The 24,666-nt window shown below is 42.1% G+C and overlaps 3 protein-coding genes across 6 annotated transcripts in view; 2 read left to right on the top strand and 1 right to left on the bottom strand.

Annotated features, from left to right (window-relative positions):
* Positions 1 to 24,666, bottom strand: part of ZSCAN25 (zinc finger and SCAN domain containing 25) — a 121,090-nt gene that overhangs the window by 3,441 nt on the left and 92,983 nt on the right. For all 4 annotated transcript variants that reach the window (XR_927402.3, XR_007059989.1, XR_007059990.1 and 1 more), the window contains 2 exons: positions 10,883 to 11,120; positions 8,798 to 8,880 (listed from right to left, as the gene is read on the bottom strand). The gene's annotated coding sequence lies outside the window, so the exon portion shown is untranslated. The remainder of the gene's footprint in view (positions 1 to 8,797; positions 8,881 to 10,882; positions 11,121 to 24,666) is intronic.
* The window catches only part of CYP3A7-CYP3A51P (CYP3A7-CYP3A51P readthrough), a 50,520-nt gene that overhangs the window by 602 nt on the left and 25,252 nt on the right, over positions 1 to 24,666 (top strand). Inside the window, exons 2-10 of the mRNA NM_001256497.3 lie at positions 3,443 to 3,536; positions 12,247 to 12,299; positions 14,183 to 14,282; positions 16,956 to 17,069; positions 17,330 to 17,418; positions 18,689 to 18,837; positions 19,913 to 20,040; positions 21,060 to 21,126; positions 23,703 to 23,863. Coding sequence (NP_001243426.2) covers positions 3,443 to 3,536; positions 12,247 to 12,299; positions 14,183 to 14,282; positions 16,956 to 17,069; positions 17,330 to 17,418; positions 18,689 to 18,837; positions 19,913 to 20,040; positions 21,060 to 21,126; positions 23,703 to 23,863 — 955 coding nt within the window. The remainder of the gene's footprint in view (positions 1 to 3,442; positions 3,537 to 12,246; positions 12,300 to 14,182; positions 14,283 to 16,955; positions 17,070 to 17,329; positions 17,419 to 18,688; positions 18,838 to 19,912; positions 20,041 to 21,059; positions 21,127 to 23,702; positions 23,864 to 24,666) is intronic.
* Positions 1 to 24,666, top strand: part of CYP3A7 (cytochrome P450 family 3 subfamily A member 7) — a 30,161-nt gene that overhangs the window by 602 nt on the left and 4,893 nt on the right. Inside the window, exons 2-10 of the mRNA NM_000765.5 lie at positions 3,443 to 3,536; positions 12,247 to 12,299; positions 14,183 to 14,282; positions 16,956 to 17,069; positions 17,330 to 17,418; positions 18,689 to 18,837; positions 19,913 to 20,040; positions 21,060 to 21,126; positions 23,703 to 23,863. Of these exons, the coding sequence (NP_000756.3) occupies positions 3,443 to 3,536; positions 12,247 to 12,299; positions 14,183 to 14,282; positions 16,956 to 17,069; positions 17,330 to 17,418; positions 18,689 to 18,837; positions 19,913 to 20,040; positions 21,060 to 21,126; positions 23,703 to 23,863 (955 nt within the window). The remainder of the gene's footprint in view (positions 1 to 3,442; positions 3,537 to 12,246; positions 12,300 to 14,182; positions 14,283 to 16,955; positions 17,070 to 17,329; positions 17,419 to 18,688; positions 18,838 to 19,912; positions 20,041 to 21,059; positions 21,127 to 23,702; positions 23,864 to 24,666) is intronic.

Below are 24,666 nucleotides of genomic sequence, written 5' to 3'. Positions count from 1 at the left end.
AGAAGTAGCTTAAGTGTTGGATGCTACAAACATATAGAGGTTATGATGGATGTTTTGCAGATCTATAAAGGAATAAATAAGCATCTCCCCCATTCATCTTTAGTGGAAAGAAGGGTTTAGGGACAGCATTGATTGAGGATAATCTAATAGACAATGGTTTGTACCCAGCTTACCAAACCAGAATTTGGATTTTACATTTTTCCCTTTAAGTTGCAGGAGAAGAGGGTGAATCTTCTCACCAGTGAGATCCTGGCATCCTAGAGCAGGTGGAGAGAAGAGTCACTCCCTACTGTGTGTACTGGAGGCTTCCCGCCTGTCACATTTTACTTCTAACTCAATTTCACAGTTATTAAGAGTAAGGAATCATGGTCACATGGAAACAGAAAATACAAACCTCGTTTTAATTCTTTCACAGAAAAGTTAGCAATTCAGTGAGTTGTGGTAACATAGTTTCCATCTACTGGCAATTTAACATGAATTGGTGTGGCTTAAATTCATCCTTTTTAAAGCCAGATTTTTTTGGAGATAGACTATTTCCAGCATGTTCCTTCTGAGTGATAAAAGAGGGCTATTAGTTCAGTATTTGTGACAATAAATGTGTATAAGATAACCTCACCTTTCCAGAATAATGTCAGGAATATGAGTCTAATGTACAAATATATATCTCTAGGACAAGACTGCATATGTCTTTTTAAAAATACTTTCCCAAGAGTTTATTTTAATACCCCCATTTCAAATACACCTGCTTAGCAGGTTATCCTAAACTCTCAGGGCTAGAAAGTAAGCAAGACTGTGAGCCAGTGATGATAGCAAAAGCATCCAGGTAGGATCAAGATGAAGTGAGAAAATATTCCTTACCCCTCAGGGTAGAACTCCAAATAGATATTCATGGGTCCTGGCCCCCTAGTGGAGGTCACTTGAAGGACAAACATGTTGGCATCTCATCTGCTTGAAGCCTGGACACAAGGGCACCATCAGTGTCACTCTGTGTGTGGCTGGCCATGTTGTGGGGCTGTCACTACAGATTCTGGCAGTCAGGCAGACAATACCTTAGCCTTAGACGATGCCGGTACAGCCCAGGATTCAGAAGCTATAGTGTAGACCATGCCCTTCTTAGGCCTATACAATTACATGCAATAGATGATGGATTTTTCTGTTAGCCTCTTCATTGTAACAAAAAGCAGCATTACTCTACCAAACAGAGGGGAGCTGGAAAGAAACTAAACAGTTTGCCAAGCACAGCCTCTGCCTTGACGTGGAATCATGTGAATCTAGACACTCACCTAGATCTTTCCTCGGGGGCCAATGCTGCTCACACATTAACTCAATAGTTTGTCCTGGCCTGAGAGATCATGTAACATGTAGAAAGTTTAGAAGCAGAGATTAGTGCCATTGATTTTCCATGGCTGTGACAACAAAGGAAGGAACAGGAGTGGGAAAACCCAAGGCCACCCTGGTTGTGGTAGATGGTGCACACACTTCCACTAACTATTCTGGGGCAAGGATCCAAATGCACTATTGGGCCTGGCTATGCTGTCTCTGCTGGGTTCTCCAAACACGAGCCTCCATGCTGTTTCTTAGTTGTATTTTACCACATATTATCAGAGTCACTGGATTTGTACAGAATGTTTGGAACCTATACTGCCTTAATGGCTACCCTTTAAAGAAGAGAAAACAAGGTCTTAATTCAACTATCTGGAACATTTTATGGTTACTTATGTGGAATACTCCATCTTTTGCTATCAACAGGAAGGTACCTGGCCATTAGAAGGTGCCTGCCTTTCAGCTGAAAGCACATATGAGGCATATGGATCCATTTATACACACCGTACTTTTGAACCACATTTTCCTAATTTGCCTGTCTGGGGCCAAGCTTGTGGGACTAGCAGATTCATGGTTGAATTGATGGCTGGCTACCTCTTCCATCAACTTTTCTGCTTCATCCAGTCTTCCACCCCTCAGTAACCTCAAACTGGGAAGGTCTTCAGATATCCAGAATCCCCAGTTGGGGAAGTCCATACATGGCCCATCAAAGATGGGTTGCAAGCAGGCCTGCTATAGGGAGCAGCAGCCTTGATGGGTTTTCCTACAGAGACAGTTGATGTGCAGACGCAATAAACTGACTGCTTTGTAATTGATCACCTTGAAAAAAAATGAGCATGTCTGGCTGTATTAGTCTTTTCTTCCATTGCTATAAAAAAAAATCTCAGGGTGGGTAATTTAGAAAGGAAAGAGATTTAATTGGCTCATGGTTCTGCAGGCTCTACAGGAAGCATAGCGACTTCTGCCGCTAGGGTGCCCTCAGGAAATTTACAATCATGGCAGAAGGTGAAAAAGAAGCAGGCAGATCTTACATGACTGGAGCAGAAGCAAGAGAGGGTGGGGAGGAGGTGCCACACACTTATAAACCACCAGATCTCATAAAAACTCATTGTCAAGAGGACAGCACCCAAGGGGGATGGTGTGAAACCATGAGAAACTGCCTCTAAGATACAACCACCATCTATCAGGCCCCACTTCCAGAATTGGGGATTACATTTCAACATGAGATTTGGGTAGGGGCACAGATTCAGATCATATCACTGGCACTGTGCTTATCAGGTGGATATCACCAGTTGGAAGGCTAGATTCCACAAGAGGAGGAATGTCCTTGTTCTTAGTTGTGATTCTTCTGCACAGTGTCATTCAGGAAAATATGAGTCAATCATCCTCCCCAATAGCTCAAATCAATCAGATCCTCTGACCACAGAGACTGAGGTGTAGCTAAAAGGTGCTCGCACTTCTACGAGGCCAATGGAAGCCTGGAGCACAGTTGTCAATCTGTAGAAATAAGGACTCTGTGACTCCTCCAAGACCTCTCTGTGAATGACAGTTTAAGAAGGGCCAGATCCTAAAACAGGGTCAGAGCTTAGAGTGAAGGGAAAGCTTAAAAGCCTCTGAGCAAATTCTAAAGACAGGGTCACCATAGGCTCTCAGTGACCCCCTGTGACTGAGTGGATGCAGTGATGCAAAATCTCATCATCACTGCAGAAGACAAAAGAAAAATTGTCACTCTTTCTACCTAGGATGAGAATCCCAAAATCAGGGAAGAGTCCACTTACTAAAAAGACATGAGGGAATGAAGTGCCTGGAAGAATTCGTTCCTGAACCTCTCAGGATCATTCACATTTGAGAACATTTATCAAATATTCATCCCAGACTGGGGCCATGAAGACTTCAGCTGCTTTTAGCTAATCATTGTAACTTTTTGGTGTCTCATGGTGGAAGCATGAAAGGACCTGATGAACAAATATAATCATTGCCGTCAGAGTTACTGTTATTTTTTATTGCCTTAATGTTACCTCCTTTGCCTGATCATTCCAGTTCCTCAGTCAGTGACTCACCAGCCCCTATATCTATAAAGTCACAATCCCTGAGACCTGATTTTTGTTTCACTTTGTAGATATGGAACCCGTACACATGGACTTTTTAAGAAGCTTGGAATTCCAGGGCCCACACCTCTGCCTTTTTTGGGAAATGCTTTGTCCTTCCGTAAGGTGAGTGTTTTTGAGCTTCCTCTTTTGCTTCTTATGATTGCAAAGAGCAACTTAGTTCCATCAGTAAAAATGCTTCTCCTCAAGAGGAAGGTCTGAGATTTTATACTTTCAGAAATAGCGTGTAGGCATCACCCAGAGCGTGGCAAAGTTTACCCTGGGGCTCTCTTGCTAACTCTCAGGAACCTCAAGTTTGCCTCAGTTGGACAGCCCAAATGTCAAGTAGATCCAGCAATCTGATGTTCACAACTTGATGTGCAGACTTTGTGAGCACCATAAAGAGCATTTCCTTTTTGCTCCAGGCAGGTTCCCAGGAAGGTACAGCCATACTTAGTTAGTATTAAAAGTAGGAACAGGAGCCCCTGATTGTGGCTTGTTATCTGTGGACATGAGAGTAAAACTTTCCTCTCTGTAGCAAGAGCTCATGAATAGGCTTTTTTCCCTTCCTCCTGCACAGCTTGGAAACTCAGTTTATTAGGGAGATCAAGTATTTACCATTGGGTCATTTGCACCTGCTTGAAGCCTCTTCAAAAAATGCCAAATTTTGTTGGGGAATTTCCATGGCTTTAACCCAGGTCTTACTCCCCATGACATCTGTTGCCACTTTGAGACACAGAACAAAAGTGTTCTGCTTTACTTCTTTTCCTTTGAAGGCTGCGTCTTGTGGGTGAGTCTGAGCAGGGAGTGGATGTAACTGAGATGAGATAGTGGTTGTCTATTAACCTCAGATATTTAAGCACAATATGAATTCATGGGTTTATTTTTTACACAAAGGCAGAATCACATGCAAAATCACTAGAAAGGGGATGATTTGACAAAATTATTGAATATTTAATTTCACTAAATAGAATGTCATATGTGCCTCATGGACTGGGGACTTTGGTCGAGCCTTTGTGCCTAACCTTATCTGATGCTGTGTTCAGGGCCTGGTCCCTGGATGGAAAATTATGAGCTTATTTCCACAGGGCCAGCAGCAGCAGGAGTCAGCTCTCTGGCTTAGACAATCTGACCTGCATACCTGAGGCTTGTTTCTCAGATTCTAGTTCTCCTAAGTGAGGGCTTTGTTGTCTAATTACTGCCCAGGAATTTCATATTTTTTCCCTCTGCAAAAGCAATAATTTCCCTACTTTCACATGCGTCCGTGTGAGGAGACCACCAAACAGGCTTTGTGTGAGCAATAAATGTTTTTAATCACTTGGGTGCAGGCCAACTGAGTCTGAAAAAGGAGTCAGCAAGGGGAGATAGGGGTGGGGCAGTTTTATAGGAGTGGGGTAAGCAGTGGAAAGTTACAGTTAAAGGTGGTTATCCATTGTCAGCAGTGGAGGGGGCCACAAGGTGCATGGTGGGGAGATCATAAGACTCATTGTGCAGAGAAGAATGTCACCAGGTTGATTGATCAATCAGTTGGGACAGGGCAGGAACAAGTCATAATGGAATGTCGTAAGATTGCTCAATCAGTTAAGACAGGAGCTGGCTGTTTCATTTCTTTTGCAGTTTTCAGTTGCCTCAGGCCATCTGGATGTACACGTGCAGGCTTGGGCTCAGAGGCCTGACATTCCTGTCTTTTTATATTAAGAAAAATAAAACAAAATAGTGGCAAAGTGTTGGGGCAGCAAAAATTTTTGGGGGGTGGTATGGAGAGATAATGGATGATGTTTCTCAGGGCTGCTTCAAGCGGGATTATGGGCCATGTGGACACCTTAAAGAAAATTTTATAATGAGTTACAAGGAATAGGAATTTAGGCTGTGGGGAGATCTTGGGGCAGAGGATGGTACCATGGACTTGTTAAAAGTAATATTTGTTGTATAGAATAATTGGTGATAGTCTGAATGTGTTTTTATATTAATTGAGAAACCAATTGAAGACACAAGTCCCGAATAACAGAAGGAGAAAAACAGGTACCAGAGGACTAAGAATAGGGAGGAGCTAAGACACCCAGTTAGAAAGTGTCCAGGTGGGTCCAAAATAAGTATTTGCCTGGCTGGTGAGTTTTTGGTCTTTATCTTTAAGCTTTTTTATATTGTCATATACCAGGCCAGATTGGTTTAGATAAAAACAACATTCTTCATTTAAAAATATAGAGTACTCCTTTTTCAGCAGTGAGTAGGTCAAGGCCTCAGCGATGTTGGAGGACGACTAGGGCTAAGAAGTCAACCTGGGTCTGAAGGACTGATAAAGTTTGTGATGTATCTGTAATGCTAGCAGAAAAGTCATTAGAAAGGCTACAGAAAGTTGTGACAGAAGTTGAAATACCTGCTATTCCAGCTCCAAGGGCAATAGTGGAAGCAGAAAGTCCTAACCCTACAAGTAGAGGGATTAGAGGAATAACTCATTTTTGTCTGGTTGGTGTCATGAGGGGGACAGGAAGTTGTTCAGTCCCATTTGCAAATTGAATTTTTTCAATTTGGGAATAAGAAATACTAGTGTACATGTACCTGTCCAATTAGCAGATAGACATATGTACGTGGTGGAGCCACAGAGGAAGCAGAGGCCTTGTGTGAGGCAAAACTGGAAATGCAAAGTGAAAAGATGAGAGGGAGTGCCAAAAGAGGTGTCTTGCACCCAGACTCTTAGGGATTTAGTGAGGGCATCAGCCCTTAGTGGTCATAATGGGGATTGATGGGGCAACTGGGTATGAGAAAGAGCATAGTGTCTACAACCAAACTTTCATTGCTATTCATGGGGTTCGGTATAAGTAAACAAGAAGGGGGAATGGGAGGAGAGTCTGAAGAACAAGGGGAAGGTAGCCAAGAATGGAGTGAAATACAGGGCAAATGTCTTAAGGGAAATGAGAAGTTCTAGGAGGGGGCTAGTTGCTTGTAACCTACATGGAAGAGGTCATGAAATGACAACAGAATAGAATGGGCCTGTGAGACTGGAAGGAGATATTTTTCTTGGTCTAAGAACCATCTTCCTTGAGTGGGGAGGGATTGATAGATGGAAACTTCAGTGGGAGAGTAAATAGGAGTGACTGATGAGAAGGAGAAAAACTGGCCATGAGGGACAGAAGTAGGAATACTGGTTGCTTCTTTAGCTGTCTTATCAGCATAATTGTTGCCTTGAGCAATGGGGTCTGAGGCCCTTTGATGGCCTTTGCAGTGAATGACTCCAGCTTTTTTTGGAAGTAAAGTGGCCTTGAGAAGAATTTTTATTAAAGAGGCATTAATGATGGAGGACACTTGCATAGTGAAGAAACTTCTTTCAGCCCATATTACAGCATGGTGGTGCAGGATATGGACAGCATTTAGAGTCAGTATAAATATTGATGTGTAGTCCCTTTGCAAGAGTGAGGCCCCAAGTTAAGGCAATGAGTTTGGCTTGCTGAGAGATAGTGGAGGGGGGCAGAGCAGTAGCCTCAATGATAGATGTGGAAGATAATATAGCACAGCCTGCCTTTGCTGGTGAGTGGTGATTAGGCCTGGTGGAACTGCCATCAATAAACTAACTGTGATTCAGGTGAAAAACAGGAAAGAAGGAAATATGGGGAAATAGAGTGAATGTCAGATGGATCAGAGAGATACAGTCATGGGGATAAGGTGTGGTATCAGGAATAATGTGGGAGGCCAGACTGAAGCCCAGGCCAGGTACAATGGTAATTGTGGGAGACTCAACAGAGAGTGGGTATTGCTAAAGGAGCTGGGGAACAGAAAGTATATGCATCAGGTGTGAGGAAGGAAATATATTTTGGAAGTTATGAGAACTGTATGGAGTGAGTTGAGCATAGTTTGTGATTTTGAGGGCTTCTAAAAGTATTAGGGTGGTGGCAGCCACTGCACAGAGACATGATGACCAGCCTAAAACAGTAAGGTCAAGTTGTTTGGACAAAAAGGCTACAGAGCACGGTCCCAGTCCTTGTGTAAGAATTCCAGCTGCACAGCCCTGCACTTTGGCTGTGTGTAATGAAAAGAGTTGGGATGAGTCAGGAAGAGCTAGTATGGGAACAGCCTCTAGAGCTGTCTTCAAGGAATGGAAAGAGGAGTGAGGAAAGGATTTAGGACTTATGGGGTCAGCTAGGTTTCCCTTTGTGAGTTTATATAATGGTTTTGTTAGGATGGCAAAACCAGGTATCCAAAGGCAAAAGTATCCAACCATGCCCAGGAAGGAAAGGAGTTGTTTTGTAGAAGGGGTTGGGGTTTCAGAGATCAGCCAGACATGATCAGCAGGGAGACCCCATGTGTTTTCATGAAGAATTATGCTGAGGTACGTAACGGATGGAGAAGAAATTTGAGCTTTGGAGGGGGATACCCGATATCCTTTGGAGAGTAAATGTTGAAGGAGCAGGAGGGTATCTTGTTGAAAAGACTCAAAGGAGGGACTACAGAGTAGAAGGTCATCAATATATTGAATAATGTGGGAAGCAGAGGGATGGGAAGAAAGTAAATCATGAGAGAGAGCTTGGCTGAAGTAATGAGGGCTGTCCCAGAAGCCTTGTGGCAGTACAGCCCAGGTAAGCTGCTGGGACTGATGGGTGTCAGGGTCAGTTTAGGTAAAAGCAAAGAGAGGCTGGGATGTGTGGTGCAGGGGAATAGTGAAAAAAGCATCTTTAAGATCAAGAATGGAATAGTGAGTTGTGGAGGGAGATATTGAGAACAAAAGAGTGTACGGGTTGGGCACCACAGGGTGGATAGGAAAACAATTTTGTTGATAAGGCGCAGATCCTGAACAAACCTGTAAGACTTGTCTGGTTTTTAGACAGGTAAGATGGGGGAATTATAAGGAGAGTTTGTAGGCTTTAGAAGCCCATGCTGTAGCAGGTGAGTGATAACAGGCTTCAATCTCCTTAAAGCCTCTTGTGGGATGGGATACTGGCGTTAAGCTGGGTAAGGGTGATTAGGCTTTAATGGGATAGTAATGGGCATGTGATCAGTTGCCAGGGAGGGAGTAGAGGTGTCCCATACCTGTGGGTTAAGGTGGGGGGATACAAGAGGAAGACACGAAGGAGGCTTTGGGTTGGGAAGAAGGATGGCAATGAGATGTAGCTGTAGTCCAGGAATAGTCAGAGAAGCAGATAATTTGGTTAAAATATCTCAGCCTAATAAGGGAACTGGCAGGTGGGGATAACTAAAAAGGAGTGCATAAAAGAATGTTGCCCAATTTGGCACCAAAGTTGGGGAGTTTTAAGAGGTTTAGAAACCTGGCCGTCAATACCCACAACAGTTATGGGGGCAAGGGAAGCAGGCCCTTGAAAAGAAGGTAGTGTGGAGTGGGTATCCCCCCTATCGATTACACAGGGGATGGACTTACCCTCTGCTGTAAGAGTTACCTGAAGTTTGGCATCCGTGATTCTCCGGGGGGCTTCCGAGGTGATCGGGTAGCATCAGTCTTCAGCCACTAAGCCAAGGAGATCTGGGAAGGAGTCAGCCAAGAAACATTGGGTTTGAGCTCCAGGAACTTTAGGAGCAGTGGCGATGTGAGTCAGACAGTCCAACCTCTAATTGGAGCCCACACAGACAGGGCACGGCTTAGGAGGAATCCCAGGCTGTGGGCCTTCTGAGGCCCAGTGGCCAGGCTTTTGGCATTTGAAGCAAGGTCCATGAGGAGGTTTTGAAGGAGCCCCTGGGAGCTGTGGCTTGGATGTTCTGAAGGTTTTGTATGCTGGAGACATGGTCTTGGGTTGTCTTACACTGGAGGCAAGTAGCTATAATTCAGAGATGCATTGTCACTTGGCCGCCTCTTCTCTATTATGATACACCTTGAAGGTGAGGCTATTTAAGTCCTGTTGTGGGGTTTGAGGCCTGGAATCCAATTTTTGGAGATTTTTTCTAATGTCAGGAGAGGATTGGGTCATAAAATGCATATTAAGGATAAGGCGGCCTTCTGGCCCCTCTGGGTCCAGGGCTGTGAAGCATCTAATGGTAGGTGCTAAGTGGGCCATGAACTGGGCTGGGTTTTCATCTTTACCTTGGGTAGTTTCCTTTAGCTTGTCATAATTAACAGCCTTGTATGCTGCTTTTTTGAACCCCTTGACTAGGCAGGAGACCATGTAATCTCACCTAGCTATACCTGGGGAGTCCATCTTGTACTGCCAATGGGGATGCTCTTGGGGAACTGCCCTGATGCCTTCTTGAAGGTCTGGCTCATGGCACTGGTGGGTGTCAGTGTGAGATTGGGCTAGGGTATCAACTCTTTCCTGCTCATCTGGGGAGAGGGGGGAGGTCAGGATGACATTTCAGTCACTCCAGGTTAAATCGCAGGACTGAGTTAAATATTGGAATTCCTGTATATATTTAGTGGGGTCTGATGAAAAAGAGCCTAAACGCTGACTGATCTGGGAGAGGTCGATAGAGAAAAAGGCACATGTACCTTGACTATGCCTTCAGCTCCAGCCACCTGACTAAGAGAAAATTGTTGGGCAGGTGGAGGAGGGCTAGTCTCGGAATGAAACTGTAAGGTGGAGTGGGTGTGAGGAGGGGAGGTGATACTTCTATTATAGGGTGGGGGAGCAGAGGATGAGGAAGAATTGGGACCTGGCTTGGCCTGGTGAGGAGCAGCCTGGTGGGGAGGGGAGAGGTCAGATGGGTTCATAGAAAAGGAGGATTCAAAGGACTCAGAGCTTAGGGTGGAGACTGAAGAAAGAGACAGGAGAGAAAGAAGAAAGATTTGGGATGAGTCACACTGGGAGCAGAGACTAGGGAGAGACTGATGTATAAAAGAATGCCTGGATGTCAGGCACCTCAGACCATTTGCCCATTTTTCAACAAAAATCATCCAGGTCTTATAAGATCGAGAAATCAAAAGTGTCATTTTCTGGCTATTTGGAACCATTGTCCAGTTTGTATTGAGGCCAAGCGGTATTGCAGAAGAAAATAAGGCATTTAGGTTTTAGGTCAGGTGTTAGTCAAAGGGGGTTTTAGGTTTTGAAGAACACAGGCTAAGGGAGAAGAAGAGGGAGTGGAGGCTGGAAGGTTGCCCATAGTGAAGGGGGCAAGCCCAGAGAAAAGAGAAGGTAGAGACATGGAGAGAGGGGAGATGGTACTTGCCACCCAGGGAAGGTGGTGCTTGCCACCCAGGGAAGGTGGTACTTGCCACCCAGGGAAGGTGATACTTGTGACCCAGGGGAGGTGGTACTTGTGCCAAGGTGAATGATCAAGGCAGGCATCCCCACAGTGATCAGATACCTCTGAAATGTGGGTGAATAACCAGGCAGGTGTCCTGGCAGTGATTTAGACACCAAGGGAAGACTGTTCCCGAGTCCATGACTGGCACCAGAGTTTTGAGTTCATGGATAAAACGTATCTCCTCCGTCTCTACCAGAAAGGGAAAGAAACTGAAATTAAGGAAGGGAGAGATTGAAGGGTGGAGGGATAGCAAGAGAGGTTGGAGAAGAGAATAAAAAGAGGCCGCTTACCCGATTTAAAATTGGTGAGATGACCTTGGGCTGGCTGGTCTGAGGACCCAAGAGGTGGATCTCCCCATGGAGTGAGGGCGAGGACAGGGGATGGGACTCCCGAAGGAGTCCCCCTGTCCCAGGTCTTTGGCACCAAATGTCATTTGCGTCCATGTGAAGAGACCACCAAACAGTCTTTGTGTGAGCAATAAAGCTTTTTAATCACCTGGGTGCAGGCTGACTGAGTCCGAAAAGGAGTCTGCAAAGGGAGATAGGGGTGGGTCAGTTTTATAGGACTGGGGTAAGCAGTGGAAAGTTGCAGTTAAAGGAAGTTATCTATTGTCAGCAGAGGAGGGGGTCACAAGGTGCATGGTAGGGAGATCATAAGACTCATTGTCCAGAAGAAGAATGTCACGAGGTCGATCAATCGATCAGTTGGGGCAGGGCAGTAACAAGTCATAATGGAACGTTGTAAGGTTGGTCAATCAGTTAAGACAGGAGCTGGCTGTTTCACCTATTTGTAGTTTTTGGTTGCCTCAGGCCATCTGGATGTACCCATGCAGGCTTGGGCTAAGAGGCCTGAAACCCACCACTTTCCCATGTCAAATCTTTAGTAGATGTACCCCCAAGATACACATTCCTCGGACCTTCTTTTCCATAGTTAAAACTTCACCCCTGAAATGTAGAAACAGGAAGGTTTTTTTTTAAGTTTCAGTGCAAACTCGGAGCAAGTGTCATAATTTTCTGTCTCCGATGTGTAGAGGTGACATTTTCTCAGAACTTTCATGTTAAGCTGGAAAACTGGAAAGCGAGTCCACTTTGTCATTCTGTCACTCACTCATTTTCTCACTCAACAAACATGCCTCACACTTATCTAAATCTGCTAGGCTAAAAGAGGTCCCTGGTGTCTGTAACTTTCTAATTCTGCTAGAATTCTAGAGTGAGCTCATGAAATAAATGAAAAGGATGAAGAACAAAGAGAAAAAAGACTGCACGTTCCCTTCTGGCGCTCACTCACATTCCCTCAGCCTCAGTTTCTCCACATGCCCCTAGAGGTGATCATTCAAGGATTTATGAGATTTTAGAGACAACACATGAAAAAGCAAAGAGACATCAGAAAGACAAGGAGTTACTTAGTATTTATACACAAGGATAAGACATTCAGTATCGACAACACTTAAAGAAAATTCAAGAGTGATTTTAAATTTCCCATTTCAAATACCTCCTCTATTTTGTTTCCTTTCTCTTATGACATCTCTAAATAAGCTTCCTCTAACTGCCAGCAAGTCTAATTTCATTGGATTTGACTGTTTTCAACCCCAATTAGAGGCAGGGTTAAGTACACTTAAAATAATAATGAAATATTATTTTGTTTCTCCTCCCAGGGCTATTGGACGTTTGACATGGAATGTTATAAAAAGTATAGAAAAGTCTGGGGGTGAGTATTCTGGAAGATTCCATTGGATAGACTTGTTTCTATGATGAGTTTACCCCACTGCACAGAGGATAGTCTCAGCCCAGAGCCTCTTGCGATGAAGCTCTTGCCAGCCTAACTACAAACAGAGAGGTTTTCTGAAAGAAGAAGATATGTATTTGGGAGAAGAGTATTAGAATGGGAAACTGTGTGCCATTATAAGCTATGTGCAAATTCAGGGAGGTAAAGGAAGACAAAGATGTTCCACAGAAAATATGAGGAGGACTTCATGTGGATTTTGAAATAGTTCTCCTTCACTACAAAGATCAGTAACAAGGGTGATGCCACACCAAGGTTGGACAGGCAGTTGCTGGGCAGGTGTCCTTGCAGAAATATTTTTGTGTAAGGTTGGGTTGGGCTTTCTGCAAGCTGGTGGTTTTGCCAAGTATTTTGTGATAGTTTTGTTATCAGGCACACAAGCATGAGAATCCACTCATCATAGCCTTCTTTGATTTATTTGTCAAGGTTTTTAATCACACACATAGGCACACAGACACACTGACACACACACACACACGTGTCATAATTTTGGTTCTCACAATGTTCACACTCGCTATTGTAAAACAACTTTTTGAGATTTGTCCTACCAAGGATCCCATATGTCACCAGGTGTTGAGGTCTTCGGTCTAAACTAGGCTGAGACCATTGTGGTTACCACTTTTCTCCAAGCTTTGGTGGCCCAGGGACTCCCAGCATCACGTTCTGTCCAGTGTCTGCCTATTCCCCTCTTCTTTTTTTCTTCCCTTGATGCCCTTTTATCACATGCATTGTCTCAGACCCTTCGAATATGTGCTCATAAATGCATGGCATCATCTCCTTCCCACATCGATTCACTTTCAATTAAAAGCCAAAACTCTTTCATTTCAACTTTGGATTTAACATGCTTTTGAAAGAAGGGTTGAGAAATATAGAGAAACAGATTGGGAAACCATGCTCTGCTGTTTCTTTTTTTTAAACTTTCTATGTAAGTGTGGAATTTTTCATTCTGTTTTATTATTAACTTTAAGCCAAGACTTTTTAATAGAAGGATATATAAATACATCTTTGTCTATACATTTCTGCTGAATTTGAAGAGATGCTGAATATTCTTAAACCATTGTGTTCCCTGGTGGGCTGATGGACTGTGATTTTATAAGGTGGCCTCAGCCAACTGCAGCAGCTGTTCCCTGTCAGAGGGGCTAGAGGTTTGGCAAGAGCGGTGGAAGAGGTGCAGTGGTGTGTTCGTTCACTAGAAGCATTAGGGAGAAGGTTTTGCCTGTTTGTATTTCATCTTCTCTCATCAAGTCCTCAGAAACCACAGTGCTGTCTGCAGGGTGCTGTGGATCTGGCATGGCCCATACAGGCAACATGACTGAGTAGAAAGGACACACAGCTCTGGATGTCCTTGGGCCCCACAGCAACTGCCCTTGAAACATTTAGTCCTTGTGAGCATTTGATGATTTACTTGCCTTCAATTTTCCATGGACCTAATACTCTTTATAAAGGGAAATATTTTAAACCTATGAAACATTGTGGAGAATGGCATGGGAAATACCCATGTATGCACCACCCAGCTTAACAAATGCTCTCCTGTCATTTCTAACCACAATCTCTTTGAAGAGCTCTTTTGTCTTTCAATCTCTCTTCCCTGTTTGGCCCACATTACCCTTCATCGTATGAAGACTTGGATGGCTCCTGTGTCAGACTCTTGCTGTGAGTTATACCTAATGAACTAGAACTTAAGATTACTGTGTATTGTACATCTAGAGGATTATGTAATGTCCGGATCAAAGTCTGGCTTCCTGGGTTTGGCTCCAGCTGTAGCATAAGGCTGTTGATGTTTAATCAACTCTGTTTTCTCCACACAGTATTTATGACTGTCAACAGCCTATGCTGGCTATCACAGATCCCGACATGATCAAAACAGTGCTAGTGAAAGAATGTTATTCTGTCTTCACAAACCGGAGGGTAAGCATCCATTTTTTGAAATTAAAATACTCATTGATTGATTAAATTTTTATTTTAAAATTCTTATATATTCATAGACAGTTGCCTAAAAACTGTGCAGGAAGGTTCCATGTACACTTCATCCTGCCCATCCCCCATGGTAACATCTTGCAATCTTGCATAACTATAAATACAGTATATTCACATTACTGCAGTACAGGAAATTAACATTGATACAGTTCACAGAGTTTATTCAGATTTCACCAGTTTTATGTGCCCTCATTTGTGTGGGTAGTTTTTTGTTTTTGTTTTTGTTTGTTGTTTGTTGTTTGTTTTTCGGACTGAGTCACACTCTGTCACCCAAATGGGAGTACAGTGGTGTGGTCTTGGCTCACTGCAACCTCCACCTCCAGGGTTCAAGTGATTCTTCTGCCTCCACCTCCCGAGTAGCTGGGACTACAAGTTGCACCACCACGCCCTACTAATTTTTGTATTTTTAGTAGAGACGAGGTTTCACCTTATTGGCCAGGCTGGTCTTGAGTGTGTGGGTAGTTCTATGCAAATTTATCACATTTGTAGATTTGTGCAATGACCAGCATGATCAAGATGCAGACCCATTCCATCTCCGTATGGCTCCCTGCTACTATCCTACAGTCACGAGTGTTTTTCTCTGAGAGGGTCTTTATCAGGGAAAACTTTTTTTATTTTGAGGAGGCCAATGTATTAATATTTTTTTATGGATTGTGCTTTTGGTGTCAAGTCTGAAAGTTCTTTGCCTAGCCCTCCTTCCTATATTGCCAATTTTTCTAAAAGTCATAAAGTTTAATGCTTTACTAAATGTAACTCTACTATCTATTTTGTGTTATTTTTTGTATAAGGTATGAGATTTAGATCAACGTTCATTTTTTGTGGCTTGTAGTTGTCCAGTTGTTCCAAAGCCATTTTTGGAAATGTGGGCATATTGTTAAAAATTAATTGGGCATGTTTCTTTGCATCTTTCATTTGCTATTCTGTCCCATTGATCACTGTGTTTATTCCTCCATCAACAACAAACTGGTGACTCTAATACCTGTACAGTAACTCTTAGCATCATGTAGAGTGATTCTTCCCACTTTTATGGATGTATTTTTTTAGATTTGTTTTAGCTCTTCCTGGTCCTCTGCTTTTCCATAAAAATTCAGAATGAGTCTCTCAGTGTCTATAAATAAACATGCTGTTATTTTAACAAGAATTGAATTAAATGTATAGATCAATTTAGGGAAAGTCTTTATCTTCACTATGTTTGGTCTTTCAATTCATGAACATAGTATGCCTCTCCATTTCCTTAGATTTTCTCTGATTGCTTTTAGCAATTTGTAGTTTTCAGCATAGAGATCCTGTGCATGTTTTGTTGGATTTACAGCTAAAGTATTTCATTTTTGTTGGAGTGATTGTAAATGATATTATGTTTTTCTTGTATTTTCAGATATTGATTGTTGGTACATAGAAACATGCTTGGCTTTTGTTTGTTGATCTTGTATCATAGAACCTTGCCGAGCTGACTTAGTATTTCTAGAAGTCTTTTTGTATATTCTTGAGATTTTATACATTGACAATTATGTCACTTGAAAATAGAGACAATTCTTTTATTTCCTTTCCAATCTGTATGCCTTTTAATTCTTTTTCCCAGTATAATGTCAAATAAATGTGTTGAATTTTTGAATTGTTCCTAATATTAGGAAGGAAGCATTTGGTCTTTCATCATCAAGAATGATTTAGATGAAGTGGGTTTTTTTGTAGATTCTCTTTATCAAATGGAGGAATTTTCTCTCCCTAGTTTGCTGAATTTTTAACATAAAAGAGTACTGTAAGTACTCATTATAAAACAAAATATGGCTGTGGAAGATGAAAGAGAGTTTCAAGCATGCTGGCTTGATAGGCCAGATCCAAGCTGGCAAAAATAATTATCTCTTTCTTCTTTTTTTCTATCCATGGAATAAAAAATTAAGAGGAAAGAATGTTAATAGAATCGCATTATTTCTTCAAAATACGTTGTGAGTTTTAAAAGTATTACCTACCTTTTTTATTATACTTTTTTTAGGGTACATGTGCACAACGTGCAGGTTTGTTACATATGTATGCATGTGCCATGTTGGTGTGCTGTACTCATTAACTCATCATTTAACATTAGGTATAACTCCTAATGCTATCCTTCCCCCCTCTCCCCACCCCACAACAGGCCCCAGTGTGTGATGTTCCCCTTCCTGTGTCCATGTGTTCTCATTGTATATTTTTTTAAATCTACCACATCAAGGCACCTCTTTTTCATGTTGCCCATGGTTTAGGTGAACATAAAGACAGAGCTCGTCTGAGGCAACATACAGTCCAACAAAGCCACCTGCCTCTCTGTCTCCACTCTCTCTCTACACTGCACGCGTGCTAGGTGTTGATCCTGTCTATTCCAGTGGAAGAACAGGTTCCGTACCATGTGGAGAATTTGCATGTAAAAGGAGACTGGGATATACAGGCTGGAGACCACATCAGGTGGCTGGGCATGTGGGATAAATCCTATTGAGCATCTGTCATAGGGCCTGTCACTTAGTAGACAGTCACTAAATATTTGTTAAATACATGATGCCTGTTTAACACATTTTCTACAACCATGGAGACCTCCACAACTGATGTAGGACAAAATCTTTCTGCTTTGAACTCTAGCCTTTCGGGCCAGTGGGATTTATGAAAAATGCCATCTCTATAGCTGAGGATGAAGAATGGAAGAGAATACGATCATTGCTGTCTCCAACATTCACCAGCGGAAAACTCAAGGAGGTATGAAAATAACTTGGGTTTTAATTAGAAACTTAAAGAATGAATCAGGTGGGGACAGGTAGAAAGTAAGATCAGAGTTCCTTTCCGAGGAGTAGTCTGCTGAATTTGAGCTTCCTAAAAATAGTCTTTTTATGTACAGAAAACACATCATAAAATTCATTATACAATGTCACTTATTGTTCCATGCCAGGCAAAGTCATGTCCTTCTGGGACTTATGTCTGCACATTTAACTATGGGTGGTGTTGTGTTTTGTGCTTAGATGGTCCCTATCATTGCCCAGTATGGAGATGTGTTGGTGAGAAATCTGAGGCGGGAAGCAGAGACAGGCAAGCCTGTCACCTTGAAACAGTAAGTAGGAGCACAGCCATGGGGTTCTGAGCTGTCATGAGCCCCTCCAGCTGCCTGCTATGGAGCTGATACTCCCGCTGTTGGGTTATTCCAGTGACCAGACAAAAGGAGGGCTGTGGTAATGCAACTTCAATGGGTCTCCCAAGATGGGGCAGCTCCGATGAGGAGGTGGGGCAGCTGGAGGAAAAGGATCTTCTCCCCTGTGCACAGAGGTCAGGGTTTACATATCTGTTAAATTGTCACCTTGGATATTCTGGAGGACTAAATACATCCTTTAGGGGGAAAAGTGTGATTGTATCAAAGTTTTAAGCATGGAGTGTATGGGATGGTGGAAGGGGAAGGCACTTGGTATCTGTTGGTTGGCAGTGAGTAGGGTGGGAAAGTTATAATGGAGAACTTAGAATAACTTTGATCATTTCATGTTTTTTTTCTGAGGGTATCAGTAGAATACTAAATATTAAACATTCCCACCATTTCTTTTTCCTCCAGTCTCAAAGAGAGAGGGTGGTAAAAACGCTATAGGTGGGGCAAGCCTATTATTTGCTGTCTACACTTATGCAGGAACAACAGGTGTAATCTGAGCCTGTCCTGGGCAGACAGGGGATATGTGGTCACTCACTATAGAAGTTTCCAAATCAAATTTTGAGAGTTTTTTTTAACCAGGACATCATTTGTCATTATATTTTACAAAAATAATTCTGCCATCAGGGCAACCTCAGCTCACCACAGCTGGGGATAGTGGAATTTTCCAAAGCTTGAGCAGGGAGTATAGAGAATAAGGATGATATTTCTAGGAGCTCAGGACATGGTACTGTTGCTTTGTAAAGTGCTGAAGAGGAATCGGCTCTGGGCATAGAGTCTGTAGTCAGGCAATGTCACCTGTCTTGAGCCCCTTAGAAAGAGTGAATTTTTCTACTCTTGTTCTGCTGAAGCACAGTGCTTACCCATCTTGTATCATCCACAATTAACACATGCTACTGCAGTTGTCTGATAGTGGATCTCTGTCTTTCTATGACTAGGCTCCTTGACCTCAGAGGTAAGTCTAACTCAGTTGAGTGTCTCCATCACCCCCAGCGGAGAGCCAGCTGTGTCACTGACACCTGATAATCACCTTCTGAGGGAGTGTGATGGGAGATGCTCCAGTAAATAGTTCTGAAAGTCTGTGGCTGTTTGTCTGTCTTGACTGGACATGTGGATTTCCTGCTGCACGCATAGAGGAAGGATGGTAAAGAGGTGCTGATTTTAATTTTCCACATCTTTCTCCACTCAGCGTCTTTGGGGCCTACAGCATGGATGTGATCACTAGCACATCATTTGGAGTGAGCATCGACTCTCTCAACAATCCACAAGACCCCTTTGTGGAAAACACCAAGAAGCTTTTAAGATTTAATCCATTAGATCCATTCGTTCTCTCAATAAGTATGTGGACTACTATTTCCTTTTCTCTCCCTCTCTCTTAAAAATAACTGCTTTATTGAGATGTAAATCACCATGTAATTCATCCACTTAAAATGTACAGTTTAATGGTTTGTAGTACATTTGAAGATATGTACGACCATCACCATTGTAAACTTTAAAACACTTCTGTCATTCTAGAAACCTCATACATGTTTAGCTATCAACCCCCTGCCAGAAATCCTGTTGTCGTATATAACCACTAGTCAACTTTCTGCATCTATAGATTTGCCTATTCTGGACACTTCATAGAAATGATATTAATTTTTCAGGGTTTTTTTAATTCTCTAGTTCATGAATTTGTACTTTAGTCTGTATTATTTTCTTTCTTCTGCTGGCTTCAGGCTTAGTTTGCCCTTCTCCGTTTACTGTGTTGTGGCATGAATGTAGATTATTGATTTGTGGGTTTTTTTCCTCTAAATTTAGACATTACAACTATAAATTTCCCTCTGGGCACTTGTTTGCTAAATAACATGACATTCTGGCCTATCACATCTTAATTTTTGCTCAGCTCAAAACAGTTTCTATTTGCCCTTTTAATTTCTACTTCAACTTATTGGTTGCTTAAAAGTTTATTGTTTAACTTCCACGTATGTGTGAGTTTCCCAATTTTCGTTACCTTATTGATTTTAGCTTTATCCTATGATAGGTGACAGAGATACACTGTGTTATTTCTATCTGATTTCTTGAAGAGCATGATTAATTTAAGCAGCAAATTATGATTTGGGTTATCCTAAGAGACCCTAGCCCAATACATAAAGGCAAAGAGATTAGGGCATTGAATTTTGTTCCTTTCATCATTCAAAAGATGCAGAAGGGGCTGCTGATCTCACTGCTGTAGTGGTGGTCCCTATGCACAGACCTTCCCTTGCTCAGCCACTGGCCTGGAAGAGGGGCAAAAGTCATAGAAGGAATGGCTTCCAGTTGAGAACACTGATGTATTTCACTCTTCTGATTGGTAGAGAAAATTAGAATTGCTCCAGGTAAATTTTGTATGTTCACAATGGTTTCGTTTTCTGTTGGTTTTTTTTTTCTACAGAAGTCTTTCCATTCCTTACCCCAATTCTTGAAGCATTAAATATCACTGTGTTTCCAAGAAAAGTTATAAGTTTTCTAACAAAATCTGTAAAACAGATAAAAGAAGGTCGCCTCAAAGAGACACAAAAGGTAAAACGTGGTGGTAGTTATAGGAGGATGTTTAGTTTTCATAATTTTTTAGAAATATACATATGATCGGTGCACTTCCCTGTATGTTTTTAGAGAAAGATTTTAACATAAAGAGTACTTATGTTTAGAGCAAGATAATTCATTTGGTAGGAATGCAGAAAGTGGAGTTTGAGGAAGGAGATATGAGAATGAGTCAGAGAGAGCACTTAAAATTTGATATCAGGCACAAGAATTAGTATGCCATGACATAAATATTATTCAGATAAAACCTTATCACAGCACTTCCCTTCAATAAATTGTCAAAGGATAAACATTACTGTTTGGAAATACATTTTATTGGTATTATGCTTTCTCTAGATCATAGATTGGTAAAGAGTCATTTCAAGTACAAGGCTATTATTTTACACATTCTCCAACAAAAGGTCCTATCAGGCCACCTGCTGAAGTGTAGTGTGTGTTACATTTGAGCCCTCTGACAGCCTCGAGTGAACAGAGGTCTTCTCTGGGAATTGAGGCTGCAAGGCTGGCTAACTCAGCTTTGCCTTCATGAGCCCTGGAGTCCAGCCAAAAGATATCTGCAGGTCAGGGGGGCAAGAAGGGGTAACCCAGGTGTCACTGAAGATTGTACAGATTTGGGGAATGTTGCAGTATTTGAAAGTGCTCCCACCAAAGCTGCTGACAAGTTCTGGAAATGTCAGGAGAATAATCTTTGTGGACATTGGTGATGAAGAAGACAGAAGAATAAAAGGCCCAGGACTTCTTCATGGGTATGCAGTTAGGACCAGGGAAAAGACCAAAAAGCAATTGAACATTTTAGCCAGATTTGTTTCAGGAAAACATCCTGCTTTCCAAGGATTTAGATGGATATTCCTTTTCACTGGTGACTCAGGCAACACCCATCAGATTTCTGGTCTCCAAGGGGCTATATTCTCAGAAGGGAGGTTGAGGACTGCACTTCTGATTAACTTCTGACTTCACGAGTCACTTTCTGTCAATAAAATTTCTCTTTTTGCTTCTAGCACCGAGTGGATTTCCTTCAGCTGATGATTGACTCTCAGAATTCAAAAGACTCTGAGACCCACAAAGGTAACAAAAGAGTGCTTCTGAGGGCTACTGGTGGGGCACTCAGAGGGAAGGTTTTGTTCTGAAAATGTGCAGGAAGTATTCCAGGTAGATGAGAATTTCTGCCACATAGCAGAATGACACAGGTTTGGATGTTAAAATGGTAGCTGGAGGCAACTTCTAGAGGCATGCAGGCATAGATAGCCATGTTCTAAGCTTAAAGGGCAACCCTAAGGAAAACTGGCATGCCAGGAAGAGTCAGCAGTCTGTGGATCACCTACATAAGATCAAATGCCAGTTCTCAGCCTCCTCCAGATCCACAGAATTAAAGTTTCTTCCTGGAAATTTATTAGGTTTCTGCAAAAATAATTGCAATTTTTGTGATTGCTTTCAATGGCAAAAACCGCAATTACTTTTGCAGCAACTTAATGCATCTAACACCTAATCAGGAGCCATGCTATCCAAATAAGGGCGATTTTAACTGGCAATTTTTGGTGAAAGTGTGTTCACCAGGTTAATCAACTATGAAGTTATTTTTTCCTTTGCAATGGATAAGTAACTTTTTGGAAAACCTCTGAGACTGTGTAAATATCCTTTGTCTTCAGTCTTTCACCTACCAGTTTTACAACCCATGTACGATTTTTACTGAAGTCATTGTTACTATGAGTGGCAAAATGATGGCCATGTTCAGTTTCAAGCCACCAAGATTTGGCAATCATGTCACAAAATTCCTGAATATTTAATCATTGGTTCTAGAGAGCAGGAGTAGGCTGACTTTGGCATACAGATTTAAATATGTCCATGTCTACATCTACTTCTGTCTGTCTGTCTATCTATCTATCATCTGTCCATCAATCATCTATTTATCTACTTACTGATTATCTAGCTATCATCTCTCTATCTATCCCAATACAACTTGCTGTGATAAAGGAAATAGCCTACTGTTTTAGTGTTTCATCTAGAAATCACTAGACACATATAGCTATTGAGCACTGCACATGTGGCTAGTGCCACTGATGAAAAATTTTAAGTTGTATTTAAGTTTAATTGAATAAAATTTGATTTTAAATAGCCACATGTCAATAGTGGCTACCACATTGGACAGCAGAGCTCTAAACTTTGAGATTATAGTTTGGTTTCACATCAGTATCATCAGGTTCATGGTAACAGAATACAATTATTAGATAGTTGAATTTACCCACAACTGCATCACAGAAATCTTCACTGGTAAATCACAGCTCTGTTGACATTTCTCACACTCCTTTCGTATTGGTTTTGGTGGTGAGTTACATGGTTGGAACAGGCACTATATTTATTTCTGTGTTCCCGGTCTCTAAATGTCCTAATCCAGTCCTGATCAAACAGACCAGTGATGGGCCATCCTGAGCTTCTCTCAGGAAAAAAATCAAGAGAGGGGCCAACTTGCAATCACAAGAGCTTATACCATTTTAATGCCATTCATCAGACTGCAATCAATCACCACTCATCTAGCTTTTTGTCCATCTTCAGTTGCTGTACATCCTGAGATAGTCAATTCTGAGACCTATAGCCTGGGTCTATTACCTGGTGCCTCTCAAAGATATAATCCATACTTCTCAACCTGGGCTATGCACACAAATTACCACATCTTGTGAAATTCAGACTTGAATCAGTAGTTCAATGGTGGGGTTTGAGATTTTGCATTTCTGTTTTTGTTGTTGTTGTTGTTGTTTTGTTTTGTTTTGAGACAGAGTTTTCGCTCTTGTTGCCCAGGCTGGAGTGCAATGGCATGATCTCAGCTCACCACAACCTCAGCCTCCCAGATTCAAGCGATTATTCTGCCTCAGCCTCCCAAGTAGCTGGGATTACAGGCATGCGTCACCATGCCTGGGTAATTTTGTATTTTTAGTAGAGAAGGGGTTTCTCCATGTTGGTTAGGCTGGTCTTGAACTCCTGACCTCGGGTGATCCACCCACCTTGGCCTCCCAAAGTGATGGGATTACAGGTGTGTGCCACCATGCCCAGCCTTTGCATTTCTAATAAGGTCACAGATGCTTATGATCCACGGACCACACTTTGAGTAGCAAGAGGTGGTCTGTATTCCAATATTGGTCTCTTAAGTTCCCTCAAACATATCTAAAGGAAAGGTCCTTTAATTTTCCATACATCTAGCCATTAATGTTGCAAATTCTCTCAAAGTTTGTCAAGGTATATTGTAGCTAAAATGAATTACATTTTTCTTGGGAGAGAAGACTACCCCATATTAATTTACAATAAAGTACTTTTAGGATCATTCAAGGAGCACACCATGACACTGAGTATGTTATGCAGAAATGTTCTCTCTGGAAATTACCCAGCTGTGAAGGTGGCAGGGATGGCACGAGGAGGAGCGGATGGTCTACGTTCTTGAAGACATTGGGGGAAAACTGGATTAAAATGATTTGCCTTGTTCTGGCTCTGTAAGACACACATCAGAGTGAAACCACCCCCAGTGAGACTCTGAATTGCTTTTCTATTTTTTCCCCTGGGGATTTGAAGGTTCCACTTAGATTTCTTTTCATCTAAACTGTGATGCCCTACATTGACCTGATTTACCTAAAATGTCTTTTCTCTCCTTTCAGCTCTGTCTGATCTGGAGCTCATGGCCCAATCAATTATCTTTATTTTTGCTGGCTATGAAACCACGAGCAGTGTTCTCTCCTTCATTATATATGAACTGGCCACTCACCCTGATGTCCAGCAGAAAGTGCAGAAGGAAATTGATACAGTTTTACCCAATAAGGTGAGTGGACAGTACATGGAGAAGGAGGGAGGAGGTGAAGCCTTAGCAAAGATGCTTCCTCACCACTTCCCAGGAGAATTTTTATAAAAAGCATAATCATGATTGTTTCATTCACAATATGTAGGAAGGCTCTCAAAATAAAAAGAAGGAAGCATAGGGAATGGTTGCTATTGGCAGAAGTATAAGATCTTTGTAAAACAGTCCTCTCCCTGGTTCATCTGCTTTCTGTTACCACAATAATGCTAAGTAAAAAAACATCCAAAAACCTCCCTGGCATTTAACAATATGCATATTGCTCACACGTCTTGATAGTGAGCTCTGCTGATATTGGCAGGACTTGCTCTGGTCTGGCTGTGATCTGATGGAGCCTGGCCCTGGGTGCGCTGTGCAGGTTGACTCAGCTCTGCCCCACATGTGTCTCATGTTTCAGTCAGGTAACCACTGGTGAAGAAGCAAGCTAGGAACCAGGGTATCTGACTTCTGAGCTAAACTCTTAAACTCTATAATATTGCCTTTCAAATATAACACTAAGTACTAGGTGCCTATCAACCACACTGTTTTCAGACCTCTGCCAAAACTTGGATTCTTTGTGCTATGAAGAGACATGGCTTTTGGGCTGGTCTTTGTGTGGCAGTGAGGTGAGCACAAAGGGATGTTCTTCAGAGATTACAGTCCAGCCCTGAAGCAACAACTAGGAGACTGTTTCAGCAAGTGAGGACAGGGCTGTGTGGGGTTCTATCCTTTTCATAACTTTGCCTGGCACTGAAATCACATGCTCTGATAACATCCACCAGAACTTTCTT

Source organism: Homo sapiens, chromosome 7 (genome assembly GCF_000001405.40).
Source record: "Homo sapiens chromosome 7, GRCh38.p14 Primary Assembly".
Taxonomy (NCBI): domain Eukaryota; kingdom Metazoa; phylum Chordata; class Mammalia; order Primates; family Hominidae; genus Homo; species Homo sapiens.
The sequence above is the reverse complement of the archived record's forward strand: the minus strand, read 5'-3'. Positions and strand labels throughout refer to the sequence as shown.